Below are 22017 nucleotides of genomic sequence, written 5' to 3'. Positions count from 1 at the left end.
TCTGGTAGAAGGTGTGAGGGCTATCAGGGCTGTTCCTCTCCTGAGAGGAGGAAGTGTCTGATATGTCCAAAGTCTTCCTTGGACAATGACTATCCTCTTGACTGAAGGTCAGTGGTACATACACGTAGGCACACAAAGATAGACAAGTGTCACTGGTACACAGAGACACACACACACTTACAATCCACATGCCATCAAACTTCAAGCTCCTCTCTGGATTCTGTGGATTGTTGTATAGTTCTTCTATTTCCCTCTTCCACCACTTGGCAGTTGAATTACGGAAAAAGTCTGGGAAGGCCACATAAGCTCGATATAGCTATAAAAAAGAAATATAATTTCTTTGTCCCACACAAATATAGAAGACAGCAAACAGGCACTTACTGAGAATGCAACTCGCACAAATACTTCAACTGCATGGTGACAGACGGCCTGAACAGGGCCTAAATAATGTTATTAACTTATTAGAGAAATGTAGAATGAGAGGAGAAATTAGTGCAATTTGCACACCTTCCCGGCATTTGGAAAACATCCAAAAACTGTTCTCTTCATATATACATGGATGATGACAATCAATGACCCGAACTAGTGACCTCATGCATTCGATGCCCAACCCTCAATGTCAGTCCTGCCATTTCCTATGCACTCCTCAAAGACAAAGCCAGGGAGAGACTGCAGACATGAGATGCATGGTAATAGGTTAGGAAGAAACACCCAGGGACTCCCTCCTATGTCATTCCCACTGCGAGAGGGGAGGAAGGAATAAGATTACATTTCAGGATATAAGACCAGTACACCTCAGTGTTTTCTACAATTTCAGAATCACATGACAACTACAGCTGTGTGGAAGATAAATTGAGAGGACTTAAAGAGGACATTTCAACTTCCCCTTATTTTCATCTTTCTTCAGATAATAACAGGTGTGTTTTTGTTTTAACCTGCAAGATGGGTTAAAGGTACAACTTCTTTTTTTTTTTTTTTGAGACAGAGTCTTGCTCTGTCACCCACCCAGGCTAGAGTGCAGTGGTGCTACCTCGGCTCACTGAAACCTCTGCCTTCCAGGTTCTCGCGATTCTTTTGCCTCAGCCTCCTGAGTAGCTGGGATTACAGGCACACACCACTACACCTGGCTAATTTTTGTATTTCTAGTAGAGACGTAGTTTCCTCATGTTGTTCAGGCTGGTCTCAAATTCCTGACCTAAAGTGATCCACACACCTCAGCCTCCCAAAGTGATAGGATAACAGGCATGAGACACCATGCCCAGCCAGATACAACTTCTTAACTACATTGTAGACTTTTGAGAGCAAGAAGCTTGTTTTATATTCATCTGAGTGACATTTATATTTTGCACAATGCTTAGCTTAGAACTTGACACAAAATATATACTCACTGTTTAATGGTGGGTTCACACCACTTCGAAGCAGCAAATAAATGTTGCTTGTTACGGAACATTATGGTCCTTTGTATGTCTCAGTAAATAGCCTCCTTTATGACAATCACACCATTGTAAGAGTTAAAGAGCTAAAGAATGCTGGTGAGGAGGTTCGGGGAGGCAACAGAATGAGGACTTGGTCTGGGGAACTCCAGTTCTTACACACAATAGACAAAAGGCAGGTAGGAACCCATATGTCTACATAAAGGGCAAGAAAAGGAACATGAGAAAACAGAAACAGACCAGCCTACATGGGTCTGGCTGTCAAGGATGTGAGAAGACAGTGGGTCACATCACGGAGAATCTTGACAGAAGTGGGCATGCCAGGGATGCCTTTTGTTAGGAAATGGAGGTAGAAGCTAGGAAACCTGACAAAGAGAATCTTTCACCAGAAACAGAGAGCTCCAGATCAGGAAGGGTTAGAAACGACGGGATGGGTGGGGGATGGAGAATTAGAATAAAGAGATTATCAGCCACAGCTGAGTCAGAATTGTATCCCATATGGGGTACACGTGGTGAACTTGGCCAGCCATGATGTAGGAACTTCCCTAAGTACTGCTCGGATGACCCCTTCCAACTTCATAAAAATGTTCTGCCGTTCTCCAACGTGCTGGCTCTACCTTACACCTGTGCATATTCAAGTCTTGCCTTTGTGGCTTCTGCCTTCACTTTCTCCAGTCTTCAAACAGTGATATAACCACCCACACACTGGGCCTCAGGATCACCTAGCACTCTTTTTGTGGCACATTGCATGCTACAAAATGCAATTCCTAGATCCCATCAGACTTATTGAATTAAATTGCTGGAGCTTTGGACTCAGAAATCTGCTTTTCATGGGGCTGTTGGCTGTTTGTTTTATATTCAGTAAAGCCAGACCTGGACATCAGTGGCTTCATCCTCACCAGCTTCATCGAGTGGGTCTTTATTAATAATATAAATATTAGGTTGGTGCAAAGGTAATTGAAGTTTTTGTCATTACTTTTAATAACTTTCCTTCCTTTTTTTTTCTTCTGAGACGGAGTCTCGCTGTGTCACCCAGGCTGGAGTGCAGTGGCTCAATCCTGGCTCACTGCAACCTCTGCCTCCCGGGTTCAAGCGATTCTCCTACCTCAGCCTCCTAAGTGGGATTACAGGCGCGTGCCACCACGCCTGGCTAACTTTTGTATTTTTAGTAAAGATGGGGTTTCACCATGGTGGTCAGGTTGATCTTGAACTCCTGACCTCGTGATCAGCCTCCCAAAGTGCTGGGATTGCAGGCATGAGCCACCATGCCCGGCCTACTTTTAATAACTTTCAATGGCAAAAACTACAATTACCTTTGTACCAACCAATAGTTATAATTATCCTATCTACCAAGAATTTCTTATGAGCTAACAGATTCTGTGACTCCCTAATGAAGTGTTTCTCATCAGGGGTATAACTGGCGTTTGAGGTGAGAGATATTTTGTGGAGAATTCCCTGAAATCAGAGCTATGGGCATCCCTGCCCACTGCCCACTGAATGCCTCTGGTGTCCCTGTGATAACCAACACTGCCCTCAGATTTCCAAATTGCCTCAGGATGGCAGTGTTGCCCCTACTGGCTGATGAACTGTGGGGTTCTGATACTGACTACTTGATAAAAGTCAGGAAGCCCATGACCCAGAACTTCTCTGGCTGGGCAGGTTCCTGTGTCCATGTGGGCTGCTTGGACCACTAAGCTTCAAGTGATTCTCTGTGAGAGGTGACGAGAGGACAGGAAGCTAGGTCTTCTCCCTTGAACAGTATAGATAGATAGATAGATAGATAGATAGATAGATAGATACATACATACATACATACATACATACATACATAGAGATAGATGATATATAAATAGGTAGATAAATGATAGACAGAAGAGGGATTTGGATAGATAGGGTGAGTGGATGAATAGAGGTGGAGATAGATTAGATAGATAGATAGATAGATAGATAGATAGATAGATAGATAGATAGATGGTACATAGATAGGATAGAATGATAGATAGATAGATAGATAGATAGATAGATAGATAGATAGATAGATAGATAGACAGACAGACAGACAGACAGACAGACATAAATGAATAGGGTGGCTGGATGGATAGATAGATAGATAGATAGATAGATAGATAGATAGATAGACAGACAGATAGAAAGATAGATATAACCTGAGTAGATAGAGTGGATAGATAGATAGATAGATATAGATAGATGAGGTAGATGATAGATAGATAGATAGAGGATGGATGGATAGATAGAGTGGGTGGATGAATTAATACATTGATCGGTAGATACATAGATATGATAGACTGAGATAGGTAGATAGATAGATACGTACATACATACATACATACATACATAGATGGGTACATGGATATACATAGATAGATAGATAGATACTTGTTCAGTAGTAGACATAAGGAAAACAGCCTTGAACTGAGTCTGACTCGTTCTTGCCAATCTTCAAAACCAGCCCCAGCTTCTGTTTTGTTTGTTTTGTTTTACTGCATCTACTGACAGTAAATAAAGACATGCAGTCCAATAGCCAAGCAGCCTGGTGCCAAGTGTGTCTCATTTTAAATCAATAGTGCTACTGCTGCCAACTGGCTCTGGGATCCAGGAGGCCAGAGACTGACAACAGAGAAGTATGCATCACGTGTTTGCAGTACCATCTGTTCTCCCTACCCTATCAGAGCTGTGCCAGGCCTCAGTCCCTGGCTCCAGATTGTGTGGTTCTGTCTAATATCTGCCTTTCCCTCTAGGACTCACCACTTGCCCTGAAAACCAGCTTATCTGGATAAGGCATGAATATTTGGCCTAACTCCAATATTCCTGGTGATCACCAGTCACATTCCTGGTGATCAATGTTTCTCCTGCACCTCTGTCCATGGGATACAATCTTACATTACGTAGAAAGAACTCCCAAAAGAGGTCTTTGCCCCTGGACTTCTGAGTGGCTGCTAACAGAATTACAGCTGCTGGGATTTGTGCCCACAACATGGATATTTGTCTGATTAATACTTGATCCTGAGAGAGTATCTAGACACTACAACATATACCGCATTGCTGACTGCACAAGTCAGCTTCTTTGTCCCTTCAATTCCTGGCAGATGTTCTAGAAAAGAGGCCTTTTCCTTGTCTCCCCAGCTTTTCTGTGGGGGTCACATAGGCTACACATGCCCTGCTACAATTCCTGCCCAGAAAGAATAGGCATTATTGAAGAACAGCTCCAGAGGTAGGGCAAGGTACTTGGTCTCCAGGAAGCCCTTGGACCCGCACTAAGAATCCTGCCTGTGGGTACTGTCACAACAATTGATAGTAAAGCACACAGGCTGCCTCAGTTCAGGAGACACACATCTTGGCCAGAGGATGGGGCCGTAGCCTTCCTAGACCTGTAAGGAGCCATGTATCATTCAAGCAAGAAACGCTTAGTGAATCTGGAAAAAAATTCAGGTACAGAAGCATGGGCTACTTGGATCCATTACAAGCAACAAACCATCCCCAGAAGAGAGCAAGTTTTACAGTAAGGCTGGAAACTGAGAGGTAAAAGCAAAGTTGAGAAACCCAAGGAAGGATTGGGCTCAGAGGAGGAATTATAAGTGTGGAAAGGGAGAAACGTGTTCATGGAAAAAAAAAAGATACACCAAAAAAAGACCTAAACAGTCTTTGAGGTTAGAAGACTGTTTAAAAGGGATAACCAAGGCAACAACAGTTAAGTATACCAGTTCAGAGAAAAGATGGCACTGCTAGGAGGTATCGCCCAGTGGGAATTTCTTGGGCCTTTGTAATCTGACAGCCTTGGAATTGAAATCAACACTCTGTCACCTAAAACCGTGGACAAGTCATCTGAGCTCTCTGGTCTTAAATCCCAAGGATAATAATACATGTCTACATCCCAGTGGCCAGTAAAGTATGACTACCTATAAAGTAATGGGCACACAGACTGACATCCAACACACATGCCCTAAGTGTTTCTCCCTTGCCAAGCCCATGTCCACAGTACAGGCATGTCCACATTCCCAGGAACGGCTGCCCCTTCCTAGAAACCCTGACTCCACCCAAATTTACAAAGACCCTTTACCTCCACTTGACTGTCCCAGTCTAGAGACCCATTCACAACAACATCAGGAAAATCAGGCCAGACCTATGGAGAGAAACATGTTCAGTAGCGATGCACTAGACAATTTCCCTTACATAGTATTTCCAAAGAAATTATTATATAAACCATGTTCCTAGGAGCAATACTTTGATTATCATGTAGGATTGATGTAAAAGAGAAGTGAATTCCGTAACACATTATATTACTTAAAAGTTATTAACTGTATCAACAAATATTGATTGAGAAAAGGAGAGCTTCTGACCTCAGAGCCCAAATAGAAAAGGCCAAAAATAACATACACAGGCGTGTGACCCTCTAACAGTGACCCACCCTCAGGCTAGGGACTACTGGATCATCGCTTAGGATTATACCTTTCCCCAGACAATGTCTCCATCATTTGGGTACTTGATGAAGACGTCATCCTCCACGCCCCGAGTGAAGGCAGGATAGGGCTGTGTCTCATTGCCAGAAATGGCTGGATCCTGAAATCAAAGCATAAGTCAGTTGGGAAAAATCAAAGCCACAGAATGAAGAGAAACAGAATGAAGGAGAACTCCTCCAGGGCGAACTTGTTGGCTTCTACCTGAACTGTAGAGTTTCTGTGAGTCCAGGGAAATACACATTTCTTACTACACTTCAATTTATCTACTTGCAACATGGAAATAAAGTATAACACTTTCTCCAACAAAACCCATACCTGCTCCCAAACAGACCGCACACATTCACATCAGGACTAACCAGAATGAGGATGACCCGCATCCCATCAGCCTTCATGCGATTGATCAGAGCTGGAAACCCGGCAAACTTGGGGCTGAGGGTGAAGTCCAGCTGCCGCTCCATGTAGTCGATGTCTGAGTACTGCACGTCCTGCGGGAGGACATGGGGAGCTGAGAGGCTGCTGCTGTACACGCCCAAGCTTTATAGGAGAACAAGCCTCCACCACCCATGGTGGAATTCCAGATAGCTTCTTGTTGATGCTTTCAAGTCCGAGCTCTGCCATTTGTTAGGTACAGGTGCTGGGAAATTCACTTAATTTCTCAAACGTTCAGTGATAAGATAGAAAAAAATCAAAGTCAGCATAAAATAGGATGAGAATGCCTCTCTAAGATGGCTATTCTGAGGATAAATACGAACACTGGAATGGACAGTGCTTTGTAAACTGCCACTATCAGGAGTGACTGTGATGACCTCCCTCAAGAGGCTGCCCCTGGTATCAGTGGTTCATGCTTAGAAAAAATAATATTAACTACCCAGGGCTAATACAATGTGGATGGTAAATCTACTGCAAAACAAGTCAAAACAAAGCAACAATGTACAGTTGCTTTGGAATACCCAATCTTGAGGGAAATCAGACACTACATTCTTCTGGAGAATGAAATATTGCATTTCACTATCCACTAATGGAAACGCTATGTTCCACTAATGGAGCTACTGTAAAACAAGAGAAATGTAGAATACAATTAGATATGCGATGGTACATTGGATCAGTTGCCTGATGACTGGGTCCCCTCCCATCCTCCAGTGAAGGATAAGCTTTATTTCCATGTGTACATCCTCTGGAACCCATTCCAGGATCCGTGTATTCCATCAGTGATTAGCTCAGAGCTCATGGGACACTGTGCTACAGCACCAGGGCTGCGGGAACTGAGGTCGTATCCACATATACAATGGTCTGATGGTTTGGGGTTAGTTTTTTTCAGGAATTAAGTAAAAGAACTGTGGATATTATTTATTCTTATGGAACCAAGGACATTTTGACTACATGTTTTGAAGTCATGTGAAAGAAATGGAAGGAAGCATGAGATAGTAGAAAGAGCCCTGGAGCCAGCTTATCTCCCCCTCTGGGAAATCACAGTAAGTCTTGAGCTATCATCTCTAGAAGATGGAAACAAGGGCCCTTACCTCTATTACTGTGCTGGGGTGAGGCTAACTGTGATATTGTCTGAAAAAGAACATTATGTCTTTATAGAATCTCACAAACATTAGACAAATGAAGCCAGACACAGAGGCACCTGGGTTAGTTTTCAAACTCCAGAGCCATGACTGAGAACGTACATAAGGGATCTGGGCAGCCACCATCTCATCATACAAGCTGGAGATCTCAGAGTCGTTCTGGTAGCCATAGCGACACAGCTGGAACCCCAAAGACCAGTAAGGTACCATCACAGGCCGGCCAATCAACTAGAAAATAGACAGAAAATATTAGTCCTCAGAACAGAGACACCAGATTGAAGTTTTACATCAAGTAATAAGAATATTTTTCTGTGCCCCAAGCTAGACAACTAACTAATTGAATTCCACATCAAAACTGACAGGATATAGAGCCACTAGGATACTTGGAGAAAGCTTTCTGCTAGACTTGAGCTCCTTCTTAAAAATTATGGAAAAGCTGATTTCACTCCATTCCTAGAGACACTGTAGGTAACTGGTTAAGAAACCCAGAATCAGAGGCAAAATGCCTGGCTTAGATACAGGCTCCAGTCCTGCTAGCTGTGAGACCTTAGGCAAAAATTAAGTAATCTCTTAGTGCTTCAGTTTCTTCATCTGTAAATAAGGGTATAATAATAGCATCTCCCTCACAGTCCTTTTGTGAAGACTGAATGAGTTACTATGTGCAAAGTGCTCTAACATGCAGCAAGTAATAAATCAGTGATGTGCAGTAGGTAGTACATAAGTGTTTGCTGCTGCTGCCACAACAACCATGGTCACCACCATCATCACTATTTTCACCATCACCACCACTACCACCACCATATTCTTCACACCACCCCACTGTCACCACCACTACCACCACCATAGCCACCACCACCATCACTATCAAACACCAACCATCACCACCCCATCATCGTCACCATCACCACCACTATCACCACCATCACCAACACTCCCATCAACACCACCCCCACCACTATCATCACCATCACCAACACCACTACTACTACCACCATCATTATCACCATTCCCACATCACTATCACCACCATCATCCCCTACCACCATCATCACCATCACCACCACCATATAACCACAAATACCACCACCACCATACTACTATCACTACCATCACCACCACTAGTACCACTGTAACTTCTGCTATTCTGCAATGCTTACAGAGGCTATAAATTTAATGGTGATTAGAATGTATTTATTTTTCCTTATTCTATAATCTCTTTCCAAGTAATACCAATAATTCCAGTTATCATCTGAGAGTTATACTAATGAATGTGGGCTCTGGCACCCAGAATGTGCTATATAAGTACTTGATAAACAATTGGATTTCTCCCTACCTCAGTGTACTGCTGGGTGACAAGCTCTGGAGTTGGCCCCAAGAACACATAAAAGTCCAGAACTCCCCCTGTGGTACGGTATGTCAAGGCAGGCAGGGGCTGGAACGTCACATCTGAAAATGAAGAAAAATGCTAATCAAGCTGGAAACTTTCCACGTCATGAATCACCCCTGAAATCCACACATTCTCTATTTCCTGCACCCTCCCTATCGTAGAGTAGTAAGAGCCAGTATTTTCTATCATAATCACATAGAACTGAAGAAGTTCAGTGGAAGTCTAAATGTCCCATTCCTGGGTTTGCTTCCTTTGGTGTATTTTACTATATTTTGTCGTTCTACTCTTAAAATTATGTTTACATTTCAACTTTTATTTTGGATAAGGAGGTACATGTTCACATTTGTTACATGGGAATATTGCACGATGCTGAAGTTTGGGGTATGAATCCTGTCATCCAGATAGCAAACGTAGTACCCGATAGGTAACTTTTCAACATACCATACACCCTCACAATCCCCAGACTAACTTCTCTGACCCATAGTTTTACCCTAATTCAAATTTTATAACTGGCTCTCACGAGCTGACCTCCAAGACATTTGGGACCCATGTGGTTTTACTATCCCTTCTTATGTGATTTTTACCAAAATAAGAGTTGGGTTAAATCTTCTTATCACATGATATTAGACTGAAATGAACAGAAAGGCTAAACACAAAGAAAAAATAAACAGCAGTGCCCGTAAAATGAAGATTTTGACTTCAAGGAACAGTTAGGCTAAACACATTCTAAACTGACTCAGGCATGACTGGTATCCCCCCAAAATAAGGGAGGCGCTGGATGGCCTTACCCATGGCATTGCTGTTCAGCAGGAGCACTCCATGGGCACTGCCATCCTCCTCTAGCCCCATGTAGTAGGGGTGGACACCATAGGAATTCTTCTTGTACTGGAGAGTCATGGGGAGAAGCAGTAGGAGTTTAAAAGACATTATGCCTGAGAAAGAAACTCAACAAAAATATGCTTGCTAAGATGGGTCTAGTTTTCTCCATGAAATCAATTAAACACATGAAACAAAGGAGCCTGAGAATTGGCCCACTCGCCTAAAAGCAGAATGTGACGACCAAGTGGAGTTTGGGAAGATGAAGCCCAAAGCCTGAGCAGTGTGGGTGGAGAGAAGCAGAGACACAGATCTCAAATGCTCTGTCCTTACCCCTGGGGGCTGGTCTCGGGAGAACATCCCCCAAGTGTGCCACTCCAAGTCTCTCCTGTAGGACGTGTGCTCAGTCTCCCCAAAGCCATAGAGGTACTTGGAGGGAAGGCGGGTGGAGATGCGGATAAACATGTCATTGAAGGTGAAGCCAAGGAGCTGAGAGTCCCAACTGAAACACAAAAAGGCAGATTTGAAACAGAAAATGGGCTTTTCTCTCTGCTTCCAGCAGCTGACTTTTCAAGGACAACAGAACACTTGATTCCTACCCAGAAGCTGTTCATCTCCCAAACAAAACTGAAACTCAATTTGATTAAAATATCATAGATATCCCCACTAAAAGCCCAGGAGTTCTTCATTCATCTGTTTCCCACTCTCACTGCCTCCTTTCAGTGGTCCTCTACAATACAAATACAAGCTCCCCTCACCATCACAGCTGGGAACACTCCACACCAGCACTGCCTTCCACCCTTGCACCCCTCAGCGCATTTTCTACGTAGCACTCAAAGCGATATTCCTACGAGGATCTCACCTCATGTCACTCCCATTTGTGCTTCTTCCATGGCTTCTCATGCAAACATCTTATGAAGCCTTCAAGGCTGAAGCTGCCCCCTCAACCGGCGTTGCAGCTTCCTCTCCCAGCACTCACCTGCTTACTTCCTCCATTGCTCCAACCACACTAGACTTCTTTTCTTTAGCATGCCAGCTTCGCTTCATCTCCTGGCCTACCCACTTCCTATTCCCTCTGTCTGAAATGCTCTTTCCCTTCGCCCTGTCTCATGTGGGTGGCTCCTTCTCATCCAGGTCCTATTAAAATATCACCTTCTTGGCGAGATCTACTCTGACCCCAATATCAGAAGCAGTAACCACACCATAACCCTCAATTACCCTGCTCTTTTGGCTACACAGCAATTATCACTATCACAATCTCCTTTTTATACTATAACTTAAATTATCTCTGTTATTTACTTATTATTTGTTGTCATGAGAAGAGAAACCTCAGTTGTCTATAAGGAGCAGCACCTAATCTAGAGAAGGCACCCCATAAACATTTGTTGGATGAATCCTCAGGCACGCTCAACTGCCTCAGTAATTATTTCCAGAATGCTAAAGATTTCCTGTAAGAATAGGTCTGAAGGAAACAACTCATCCATGGATCTGGAAGTGGACAATGTGATGTTTTGAACCAGGATACATCCAAGGACAATGGACCTGGCAGCGAAGGCGCAGGTAGCCATCAACTCTGAGTCACACTAGAAGCCACTCACATTATAGTGCCTGTACTCTTCCGGCGAATTTCAATCCCAAATGGATTCTTCTTAATGAGGACATCATAGAGTTGACCCTCAGGGGTGCTGGATGGCACGCTGGGTATGTTCAGAGGGACTGGAACTTCATACCGATTGTTGTTGGGATCATAAATCTAGGCCAGAGGAAAACGATTTTAGGCAAGAATACTACTCTTGAAACCTATACCCTTAGCAGAACCTTTTTGATTTTTGGACAAAAGTTCAGATGCTATGTTTCTGTCTTCTTTAAGTTTATGATGTCTGAGATTTAATTAACACATCAAATAACAATGTCAGATTTAATATGTTTGTCTGTCATTTCTCATTACTAAGGCCTCTACTGCATCAATATAAGCATTGTGACATTGGTGCTAACGTAGAAAATCATTCTGGAATCAGCGTGGTATTTATGAATATGTTACTTGTTATTTTCTGTGGGTATATGAGAATATATAAATACCTTAAAACTTTTCTGAATTGAAAAATAACGTGTCTCCCCAAAGTGAAATCTATTTGATTAAAATAATCAGAATGTCCTTGCTGAAGGTGGTATCTAAACTGATTCATGAGTACCTACTACATCCCTGCCTGACACTGCACAAGACACTAGGGATGTGAGCTCAATAAGGCAGTGTTATGGTTTTATGAAATTCACAAGCAAATGAGAAGTGTAAGAGAGCAGCTCACAACACCTGGGTGATGTGTGCTAAGGGAGAGCTATGTAGAAGTGCTGTGAGACTCTAGAGAAGGAAATGCCTAACATTGTTTCTGGGAGACTGAGATGGTCTCCCAGGAGAAATACAATCTAGAGTATTAGAAACTTGGTAGTCATTAACCAAACACAGAAAAGAGATCAAGTCATTCTGGTGAAGAATAACAACCACGAAGGCAGAGAGAATTAAAGTGGGCCAGAAAGAGGCAAATATTTTGGAAAGAGCTACTGTATGGTCAAGAGGTAGAGTAGTCAATGGTTAAGGCTAGAACTCCAAGGAAGTTCATTCACTTCAAACCCATTAGGTGCCTACAACATGCTAGTGCTATGATGAGGGTACAAACATACAACAGCATCATCCCTGCATTAGACGATGTACAAAAACTCAGAATTCGGGTTGATGTCAGATTGTAAAGAAATTTTCAGGCAATGTGACAATGTCCTGATCACTTTCACTTACTCTGTCAATTACATTACAGCACTAACTATCTGCCAGGCTCTGTATTAGACTTCAGAAGCACAAAGAGGAAAGGGCACATTCCTATCCTTGAGAAGATTAGTTTAATAGAGAAGCAGACGTAACAGCTAGTCCATCCCTAGTCTTTAAATGCAATTAAATTCTGGAAAGAAATGAAATCGCTGCAGGTTGGTGGCTATTTTATACGTATCTCAAATTCAGTATCCCAAACTGAACATATCATCTTACATTGATCAAGCACAAACCTTTTCAGTATTCCCATTCTGGTTGATGTCAGCACCATCCATATTAAGATGCAAGATACCAACGCGGTCATCATTCTTGATGCTTCCCTCTCCATTGTCGCCTGCTTTCAATCAAGCACCAGACCCTGTAACCCAACTTCCTGAATCTCAACTAGGTGCACTGTTCTCCACCTTCATTCCAGTATTTAGTCCAAACCTAAGCCCTCACTTGACCTGCCTAACTGGCAGCCTCCCAACTTGTCTCTCCGTACCCACTCTTGCTCTCCCAACCATTTTCCTAACAGTAGCCACAGTAATCTTTTCCAAATGAAAATTAGGGCAGGTCTCATTGTTCCCTCAATGATTTCTCAATGTTCTCTGGATAATGACATAGTCTAATGTAGCATGATTAACTTATTTTAGGGTTGTGTGACCTGAACCAGAAAAAGATAATGGAACTGAAAAGGGTCTTATCACTGCCTGATATATGTACCGTGTTTACCTTGAACTGTAGCATTTCATTCTTATGGTAAGTGACATCCAGGCGAAGGGGGTTCACGGGTGTGGAAGGGAAGGCATTGGCATGAACAGAAGACTTTAAGGAGATGTCAGCTGTGGCCCCATGGGAGTTATACTGAACATCACTGACAGAGTATAGGTCGTTGACAAAATAGCAAAAAGGGACTCCAGAAGAATTGGATGCCTGAAAAGTAAGGCCAAAGTCATAGATCAGCACAGCATGTGGTCTTAAAGTTCTCTAACCTAAACAGGGTTAGAAAAGTCATTTTATATGACAATAAAACCAGCCTATCACTTATCACTTGGCAATAACATAAATTTAATTTCCTGGTCTCCAAGCAAAATATTTATTTTAAAAAGTTTTCCACATGTCCCCACCTACTTGTCACATCCAGATCATGTCCCTTAGGAAGTCCTTTCTATGGATTTTAAGTAGTTATATAAGTGCCACTGCTATGCTTAAGAAACTATAGATTAGGTGTGGAGATTTTCATGCACATGAACCCCATCAGCATGGTTACCTCCCAGATACAGCCACGGGCAGTGCAGTTTTCTGCAGAATCACCATTCTCATCAGGGTAACAGTCTATTTTTTCTTCATCCCTTATCTTTATGCTCCACTCCACTGTGTATGCTTCTCCCAGGAAAAGATTGATGTCTGTGATAATGGCGACCTGTAGGAATGCAGAAATCACAAGGAAATTCATCTTTGGGAGAAAGGCCTTGCAAAATCTAAGACTTTATTTATTTATTTATTTTGGAAAAACAAATAGACATCAGTCCAGACTTTCAACCATCCAAGCAACATATCACTTTAGCTTATAAGAAGAGAACTGTACAGTGGGGGAATCTATTTAGCAGTAACAGGGCATATGACTCCCCTCTAGCAGAATCTTGTACATAGCATAATGAAAACAATTAGGTCAAATAAAACCTGTCGCGATCACCCCTTATTCTTTTCTACCCTAACTCCTCTTAGCCCTCTGTGTCTTGTCTGGAAGGGTGTCTTCTGCACTTCCTCTTTAGCATGACACATGGTGTCATCTCAAAGTGAGCTGATCCTCTTGCTCTCCAGTCCCCAAACCAGCATCCCCCATTGGCGTGGAGTGGTAGAAAGAACACAGCAATAAGAATCATATGACCTGGTTATCATGCTCGCATTTATGTAGTATATTGGACAAATGATTTCTTTTTTTAATTTTTAATTTTAATGAGTATATAGTAGGTATACATATTTATGGAGTATATGAAATATTTTGATTCAGGCATACAATGAATAATAATCACATCAGGGCAAATTGGGAATTCTAATTCATTTCTTTGAATTTCAATTTTGGCAACAGCAAAATTGAGAGGTGGAAATAAAATCATCTTTCTTTCCACTTCTAACATCCCAGCATCTTTATTTTTCTAAGCATAAAGGCTGCAAATTTGAAACCTTCCTTGAATCCTATTAATTCAAATATTTAATATTTTCCATATATTTTTCTTATCTTTGATGCTTCTCTAGACAGCACTTCCCAAGTTAAAGTTCTCACACGTCTGGAGTAATAAAATCACATTCTAAAGATTATCATCCTTCTCCCAGTCTCCTCTAAATCTAAACCATCTTGTACTTCCCTGTTCTACTAGTCCCCAGCCCCCACTCCCACTCCCAACAATGCTCACACACAGTAGCACAGCCTTCATTCAAGGATCAATATGAGACTGCTTGAGAATTAATTCAAGTTGGTAACTAAGACCTCCAAAGCCTGACCACAAGTTTCCTATCCAAGCTGGCCTTTTTCAAATACCAATTCTTATTTGTGCTAGTCATACAAAATTCACAGTCTAATAATGTCAGGCTATTCCCCACTTTCCAACTTTGCTGTTCCTGGGTCTCATCATAATTATTCTATTTTTGGGAAAAGCAAGTGAAACCAGCTAGAGAGATGGGAACACTGATAGGCAGAGAAGGGAATAAGAAGAAAAATACCCAACTCATTCTAGCTCTGGCCACCTCATTTTTTTCCCCAAAAAAGGCATCAAAGGTGCCCTCTCAATTCCCCAAAACATGCATCAAAGGTGCCCTGGTACTTCAGGGACCCATGCAAACTTGGCAAGAAGAAACATCATGGTGCTATGGAGAATTCTCAATGTACCATCTCAACAAAATGGGTTTTTACCTTCAGGTTAGAATCATAAGTGACTGTAGGAGAAGTCTGACTTGGGACACCATTGTGTTTCACCGTAACATTGCTAGGTTCCTCCATCCCAAGAATTTTAATCTCATTGAATGCTAAATTATTGGGGTCCTTGTAGGTTGATTGTGAAATAGTCACCTCCAAGTGGTTCTGCAAAACAATTAACTCCAATTATGCATAAAGGTATGCCTGTAATACACAGATTCTCAAGTCACTCATATATTCTATTCCAGACTGGATACCCCCCACTGCCATGAATGCCTCTCTGCTTTCTCTACTAGTGTCTGCTCAAGAAGTACAACATTAGTTTGATAATCCTCTAATTTGATACAATCATAAAAACACACAGATAATTAAAAACTATATTTAGAAACACTACTTGCTATATTAATGCCTCCTTTTGAAAACATCGATGAAATCATAAATAGAAATGTGCTCACCTATAGCCAATAATGCATATAAAGTTACAAATATAATCACACATATACACAAGCACAGATGTGCTAATGGTCAGTCCAAAGCCCACACCTAAGATTCATAAAAATATGCTACTCACTTGAGTGACAGAAAACTCACATAAAAGATATACTTTCTTGGCCACAGTATCTGAAAGTGACAGAAAGACAAGTCAGACTCCGGCTTGCCCACCACAGAAGAACAGATTTCACACTCCCACTCTTTTCAGTTACATCCTGATGTCACAAATGGCAGTATTTCCTTTACCTTATGGATGAATAATATTCCATTGTATTCATTCATCAATGTATACTTAGAATGTTTCCATATCTTGGCTGTTGCAAGTAATGCTGTAATGAATATGGGAGGAGTGAGTATATCTCTTAAAGATACTGGTTTCATGTCCTCTGGATATACACCCAGAAGTGGGAATTCATGGGATTGTATGGAAGTTCTGTTTTTAATTTTTTGAGGAACCTCCATTCTATTTTCCATAATGGTTGTAACAATTTACAGTCCCACCAACAGTCTAAAAAATTCTATTTTCTCCACACCCTCACCAGCACTTCTCTCCTTTCTTTTTTATGATTTCCATGCTAACAGGTGTGAGGTGACATCTCGCTGTGATTTTTGACTTGCATACCTGTGTCATTTACTGATGCTGAGCATCTTTTCACATACCAGTTAGCCACTTGTATGTCTTCCTTGGAAAAACATCTGTTCAGGTCCTTCACCCACTTTTTAATTGGGTCATTTGATCTTTTGCTACTGAGTTGCATATGTTCCTTATTTTTTGATATTAATCTCTTCTGAGATATATGGTTTGCAAACATTTTTATCCATTCTGTAGTTTGCCTTTTCATGTTGTTGATTGTTTCTTTTGCTGTGCAGGAGCCTTTTAGTTTGATGTAGTCACGCCTGTTTACTTTTTGGCATTTTGCCTTTGCTTTTGGTATCATATCCAAAAAGTCATTGCCAAGACTACGTCAAGGAGGTTTTTTGCTATGTTTTCTTCTAGGAGCTTTACAATTTTAGCCCTTACATTTCAATTTTTAATTTCTTTCTTCACAGTAGCCAAGATATGAAAACAACCTAAGTGTCTATCAGTGGATGAATAGATAAAGATGTTCTGGTACATATATACAGTAGAATATTTTTCAGACATAGAAAGAAGAATATTCTGCCATTCGCAACAGCATGAATGACTTAGGAGGACATTATACTAAGTGAAATAAGCCAGAGACAGAAAGTCCAATACTGCGTGGTCTCACTCATATGTGGAATCTAAAAAAGTTCATCTCTTAGAAGCAGAGCCTACAACAGTTGTTCTTAGAGCCTGCAGAAGTGGAAAATGGGGAGATGATGGTCAAGGGTACAAACTTTCAGTTCTTAGATGAATAAGTTCTGGGGATCCAGTCTGCAGCATTGGTAGTGATGGATGTGTTCATTAAAATAGCTGTGGTAATCATTATACTATGCCTACATATATTAAATCCTCACATCGTCCACCTTAAATATATTCAATCTTTATTTGCCAACAAAATATTTGACTACCAAATAAATAATTAATTTTTAATCTACATATTGGATTAGAGGGACAAGAGTCTCCAAGGCCAAGCCATTGTTTTTCCTTCTCTTTTCTACCAGAACATTGCAAAGATTCCCTTCCAAGGGCTTCCAAGGCATATGCTTCAAAGGAATCTATTTCCTAAACTTGAAGAACAAGAATTGTTAGTATACTGGACCCACAAATATGCTAAAACGTATGGCTAGCTGAGTACACACTAGAACAGTATATTCTCACTGCCTCACTGGCAGGTGCATGATTTTTATATCGTCAACATTTGCTCATAAGAATTTTCGGAGGAAGACATTAACATAGAATTAGGGAACAGTCTTGAAACCTTCTCATCTAAGCACCCATTGACAATAAAATAAGAGCCATTATAGGTATCACTGGCGAATGGGAGAACTGTCAGAGATACAAATGCATTTTTCTTTCGTCAGTAGTTCGTCCACCACTATCCCTGAATGGTGCAACCAGAAACAAAATACTTAAGTGACTCTTGCTACTGTGCCTGCTGAGATTTCTCCCACAGCTGAATGACCAGCAGGAGTGAAGGACCATAAGTCACAGGCGCAGGTTGGGAAACAGCAACATTATTGTAACAGCGCTCACCCTTTGTTTGCCCATCATCCCAGAAAAGTTCTCCTTTTGCTTCTTTGTTTTCATCTAGGGCAATAATAAGACCAAGAGGGTTCTTTCGACTGTGGGGAACAAGATTCAAGAGACAAAGACAGGAGTCAGACAATTTTGCCAACTGGGCTGAGAATATTTCCATCAAATTTCAAACTGGAAAAGATACTAGCAGCAGATGGTTCTGTTTCTTGAGGTACAAACACAAAATCGACAGATGCATTTTTCTATAATATCAACAGTGTCACAGGAGATAGAAACACCCCAAACATTAACAATAACATCTACGTTGGAGGCAAGAATTTAAGCACCAGAGGCACTGCAATAGCTCAAATAAAAGCTGCTTCTGCAACCACTGTTCGGAATACAGAGTATGAGAAGAGAAAGAAATCTTAGGCAATAACTGGTTCAGTCAGATCACTTTAGCAATGATGCCCTCAGGAGAAGTGTCCAGTGCTGTGAGGAAGATACATTTTCGCCTGCCTAAGGACCATTTATACTCAGAAAGCAACAACATACACTAAGGTCCATCTACTAAATGGTAATGTATCTGATTATTTATTATTAGTTTGTTTTGAAAGAAAAATAAATCATTCTAATGATCTACTTTAGAATTTAGAATAGGAAACACAACACATTACTTAAAGACATGGTAGAGTAGATGGACATAGAGGAAGAAGAGGATAGAGAGCAATTTTTATTTGGAATCTCTCCTCACTCTGTCACTCTCTAGGCAACCTCTCAGTTTCCTGCTCTTCCTATTCCTCCTCTGTCTCTCACTGGACTCACATTCTCCACTGTATTCTTCCACAGTTCAGCCTTTCACTATGCAAGAGAGTTAGTTTCCATTATCAACAAAATCATCTGCTTTCTTTAAATATTCATGTATTGAGTAGCAGTCATTTCTAGGAAGTCAATGAGATACAAAAATTAATAAATCACAACCCCTGACCTGAACGACCTTCAATATTATAGGAAAAATTAGGCACATTCACTAAAAAATGAACGCAGACAGTGAAAACAACACAAATTTAAGATATTCTAGGAGTCCAGAAACACAGTTCTACAAATATGGTAGACTGTATATTCTTCTGGAGACTTACCCAGTAAAATATTACCTGATCCTAGATAAATTATAACATATATTCCTGCTAAAATGTTCTTGGATTTGCAAGACAGTAAGGAATATACTCAAGAGACCAAAACAATAACAGGATAGCAAAACACTGAGCTAGAACTCAAAGGGTGCTTAGTAAGCAAAACCTAGAATCTCCATGTGGCAAATTCCCACAGCAAGGTTAAAATTGGGCTATTAAGCCTAGTAATCCAAGGTACAGAATGTGAACCTCTGATTCCCACATGAAGCCGGGATCCTTGATGGAAGTTAACGTGATGTCAGATGGAAGGAATTCCTGGCTTGCAAATAGAGGAGAAGGCAAATCATCTCTGGAGGAAGGAGACCCACATTTAGATGCTTAAGATTATCACAGTATGAAACAAAAAATCACCAAGCACACAAGGTAATAAGTCAACATAAAGGAAAGTCAGCAACAAAGAACTAACAATAGATTTAGATGGTCCTAAACACTTCAGATACTACAATTTTCATGCACAGAGTATGCAACTACTATTGAAATGCTAACACTGCTAAAGAAGAAAGACAAAATCATCTAAGGAGCAAATAAATATATATTACAAATGACCAGAAACTTGGAAGTGGCAGTGCTTCCTCTGCTGGAAGATTAGGGAAAGACTTCTTGCTGCTGAAACGTAAAGTTTCATTTGGATCATTAAGAATACACCAGGCACAGATGTTGGAAAGGATAAATTCAAAAGCCCACATGCAGTAAAATACATGGGTATGTTTGGGAAATCGCCAGTTTTTTGGCATACCTGGTCTGTATGTACATGGAGGTATGGCAGGAGATAAGAGTTGTTAAGGTAACGTGGAACCAGGTTGTGATTGGTTTTGAATACCCTATTAATGAAAGACTTTGGACTTCAAGCCTGGGAGCAACCAGTTGAGATTTTCATTTTGGAAAAATCAATTTGGTATCACTGTACAGAACAGCTTGAAGGTGAACAGTTAGAAAATGGAAGCCAACTGGTATTGGATTTAGGGATATTTCCCATTAGTATCATAAAAAAGTCTAGAATTTGAAAAATTAAAGCAGTAAGAGAGGTTCAAAAGAAAAGACAGGTTTCTGGCTTCCAAAGAACTCCTAGTCTATTAAAGACAAATAGGTTAATACTCTCAAAGGCATGAAGATATAAATGCACACCTCTTTAGTACAGATGGAATCTATAATTTTGGAATCAATTACGTATAAAGCAAAATTCAGTGACATAGACTTTTGAGGGTTTTTTTGAATCCACTTTTGAATCACAAGAAAGAAATCTCTTAGCGGGAGAAAAGAAAGAGGAAGTTGAGATTCTAGGAGGGTGGAAAGTGGATCCTGACCCTCCTAAAATGAGAATAAGTGATTCAAGAGTAAAGAAACATGGGTGAGCAGTGTGGCCAAGGCAGATAGAGGCATCAACTGACCTGGTTTACCCAGAATTGAGAAGCATCTCAAGAGAGGAGAGTTCTGGTGCTAAAATGCATCAGTCCTGGCAAACCAAGGAGGCTGACCACCTGGCTGTTAGCGTGTTTGAAAAGAAATTCAAAGGGTTTAAGGAAGGACATGAATTACAGTCTTTCAAAATCTACTGGATACAGTTCTAAAACAACAGCTTCTGAAAAGCTCTTGTGAATTGTGGTTGCTCTTATTTTGACTTCCATGTCAGATGTGAGATTTAAAAAATGACATTCTTAGACCTTTCATCTCACTCCCTTAGACTTAAAAGAGTTGTTAATAATTAGACAAAAAGTATAGAGTCTGAAAAAGATTAACACACAAACAACAAAACAAAGAAAAAACAAGTGTTGAGTAGAATTGCATGTGGGTTTGAAAGTGATGCTTACATTTTGGTAGACTTCATCACAAATTGTTGAGCTAACTGAAATGTAAAGGAAAACCTGAGTCCTGTCATTCACCTTAAGTGGGTGTTCAGTGCAGGCTCTTGCCAGGGCAGGATGTAGCCCCCACGGACATGAAGATTAATGTGGTCAAGAGGGGCTGGCAAGGTCTTCCACTCTCCTCTTGCATTAATATCCACACCCTGGGGGCAGAAGAAGGTAAAAGATGATGAAGGAGAGGACAGGCCCCTCCCTGAACAATGCATCCTGCCAGACATCTCATCCTCCCCTCTGAACTTATGCCTGTTCATCACCCTTTGCAACATACCTGCTATTACCCATTCTGCATTCGCACAGTGCTGCATAAAACCTCGCAAGGCTGCTATAATATCTTGTTAGGGTCTCTTACCTTTGCTTCCACCATACAAACTACATTTGCCTGATGTGTAACAGGAAGAACTGCTACACTCTCACCTGTATCAGAACCTAAGGGACCATCCTTCCATCCTACATGTTCTCAACTAGAGCAGGGCTTTTCAGTCTCAGCACTATTGAGATTTGGGGCCAGACAATTCTCTGGCGATGGGGCTATCCTGTGCCTTTTGATATTTAGCAGAATCCTCAGATGTCAGCCGCATAGCCTCCTCACCCCCAGCCTGTTGTGACAACCAAAAATATCTCCAGGCATTGCCAAATGTCCCCTGGTAGGCAAAATCCTCTCATTTCAGAGCTGCTACTTTACAGGTAAGAAGCAGTTATTGTTGACAACAAGCAAACAAATATGCATGGCTGTGTTCCACTAAAACTTTATTTGCAAATCAGCTAACAACCAGATTTGGCTGTGGGCCATAGTTTGCCAGCTTGTGCTCTAGAATGAGTAATAGTTACCCAAACTTGGGAAGATTAATTAAGGTGACACTTCTTCATTAATCCTAATTATGAGATTCATCTTCATTTTAATTAAACATTAAAAATTTCATCTCTT

The 22017-nt window shown here is 41.1% G+C and overlaps 1 protein-coding gene across 12 annotated transcripts in view; it reads right to left on the bottom strand.

Moving 5' to 3' along the window:
- MGAM (maltase-glucoamylase) overlaps positions 1–22017 on the bottom strand; it is a 120230-nt gene that overhangs the window by 14519 nt on the left and 83694 nt on the right. For 10 of the 12 annotated variants that reach the window (XM_017012772.2, XM_047421011.1, XM_011516672.3 and 7 more), the window contains 15 exons: positions 21111–21235; positions 18056–18144; positions 15977–16026; positions 15403–15570; positions 13759–13911; positions 13221–13421; positions 11284–11438; positions 10019–10187; positions 9658–9754; positions 8816–8928; positions 7585–7710; positions 6268–6396; positions 5901–6011; positions 5512–5574; positions 182–316 (listed from right to left, as the gene is read on the bottom strand). The exons of 1 other annotated variant lie outside the window; for it this stretch is intronic. In XM_017012772.2, coding sequence (XP_016868261.1) covers positions 182–316; positions 5512–5574; positions 5901–6011; positions 6268–6396; positions 7585–7710; positions 8816–8928; positions 9658–9754; positions 10019–10187; positions 11284–11438; positions 13221–13421; positions 13759–13911; positions 15403–15570; positions 15977–16026; positions 18056–18144; positions 21111–21235 — 1884 coding nt within the window. The remainder of the gene's footprint in view (positions 1–181; positions 317–5511; positions 5575–5900; positions 6012–6267; positions 6397–7584; positions 7711–8815; positions 8929–9657; positions 9755–10018; positions 10188–11283; positions 11439–13220; positions 13422–13758; positions 13912–15402; positions 15571–15976; positions 16027–18055; positions 18145–21110; positions 21236–22017) is intronic. One more of the 12 variants, XM_024446990.2, reaches the window with a different exon arrangement.

This window comes from Homo sapiens, chromosome 7, assembly GCF_000001405.40.
Source record: "Homo sapiens chromosome 7, GRCh38.p14 Primary Assembly".
Lineage (NCBI taxonomy): Eukaryota > Metazoa > Chordata > Mammalia > Primates > Hominidae > Homo > Homo sapiens.
Note: the sequence above shows the minus strand (reverse complement) of the source record. Positions and strands in the feature narration are given on the sequence as shown.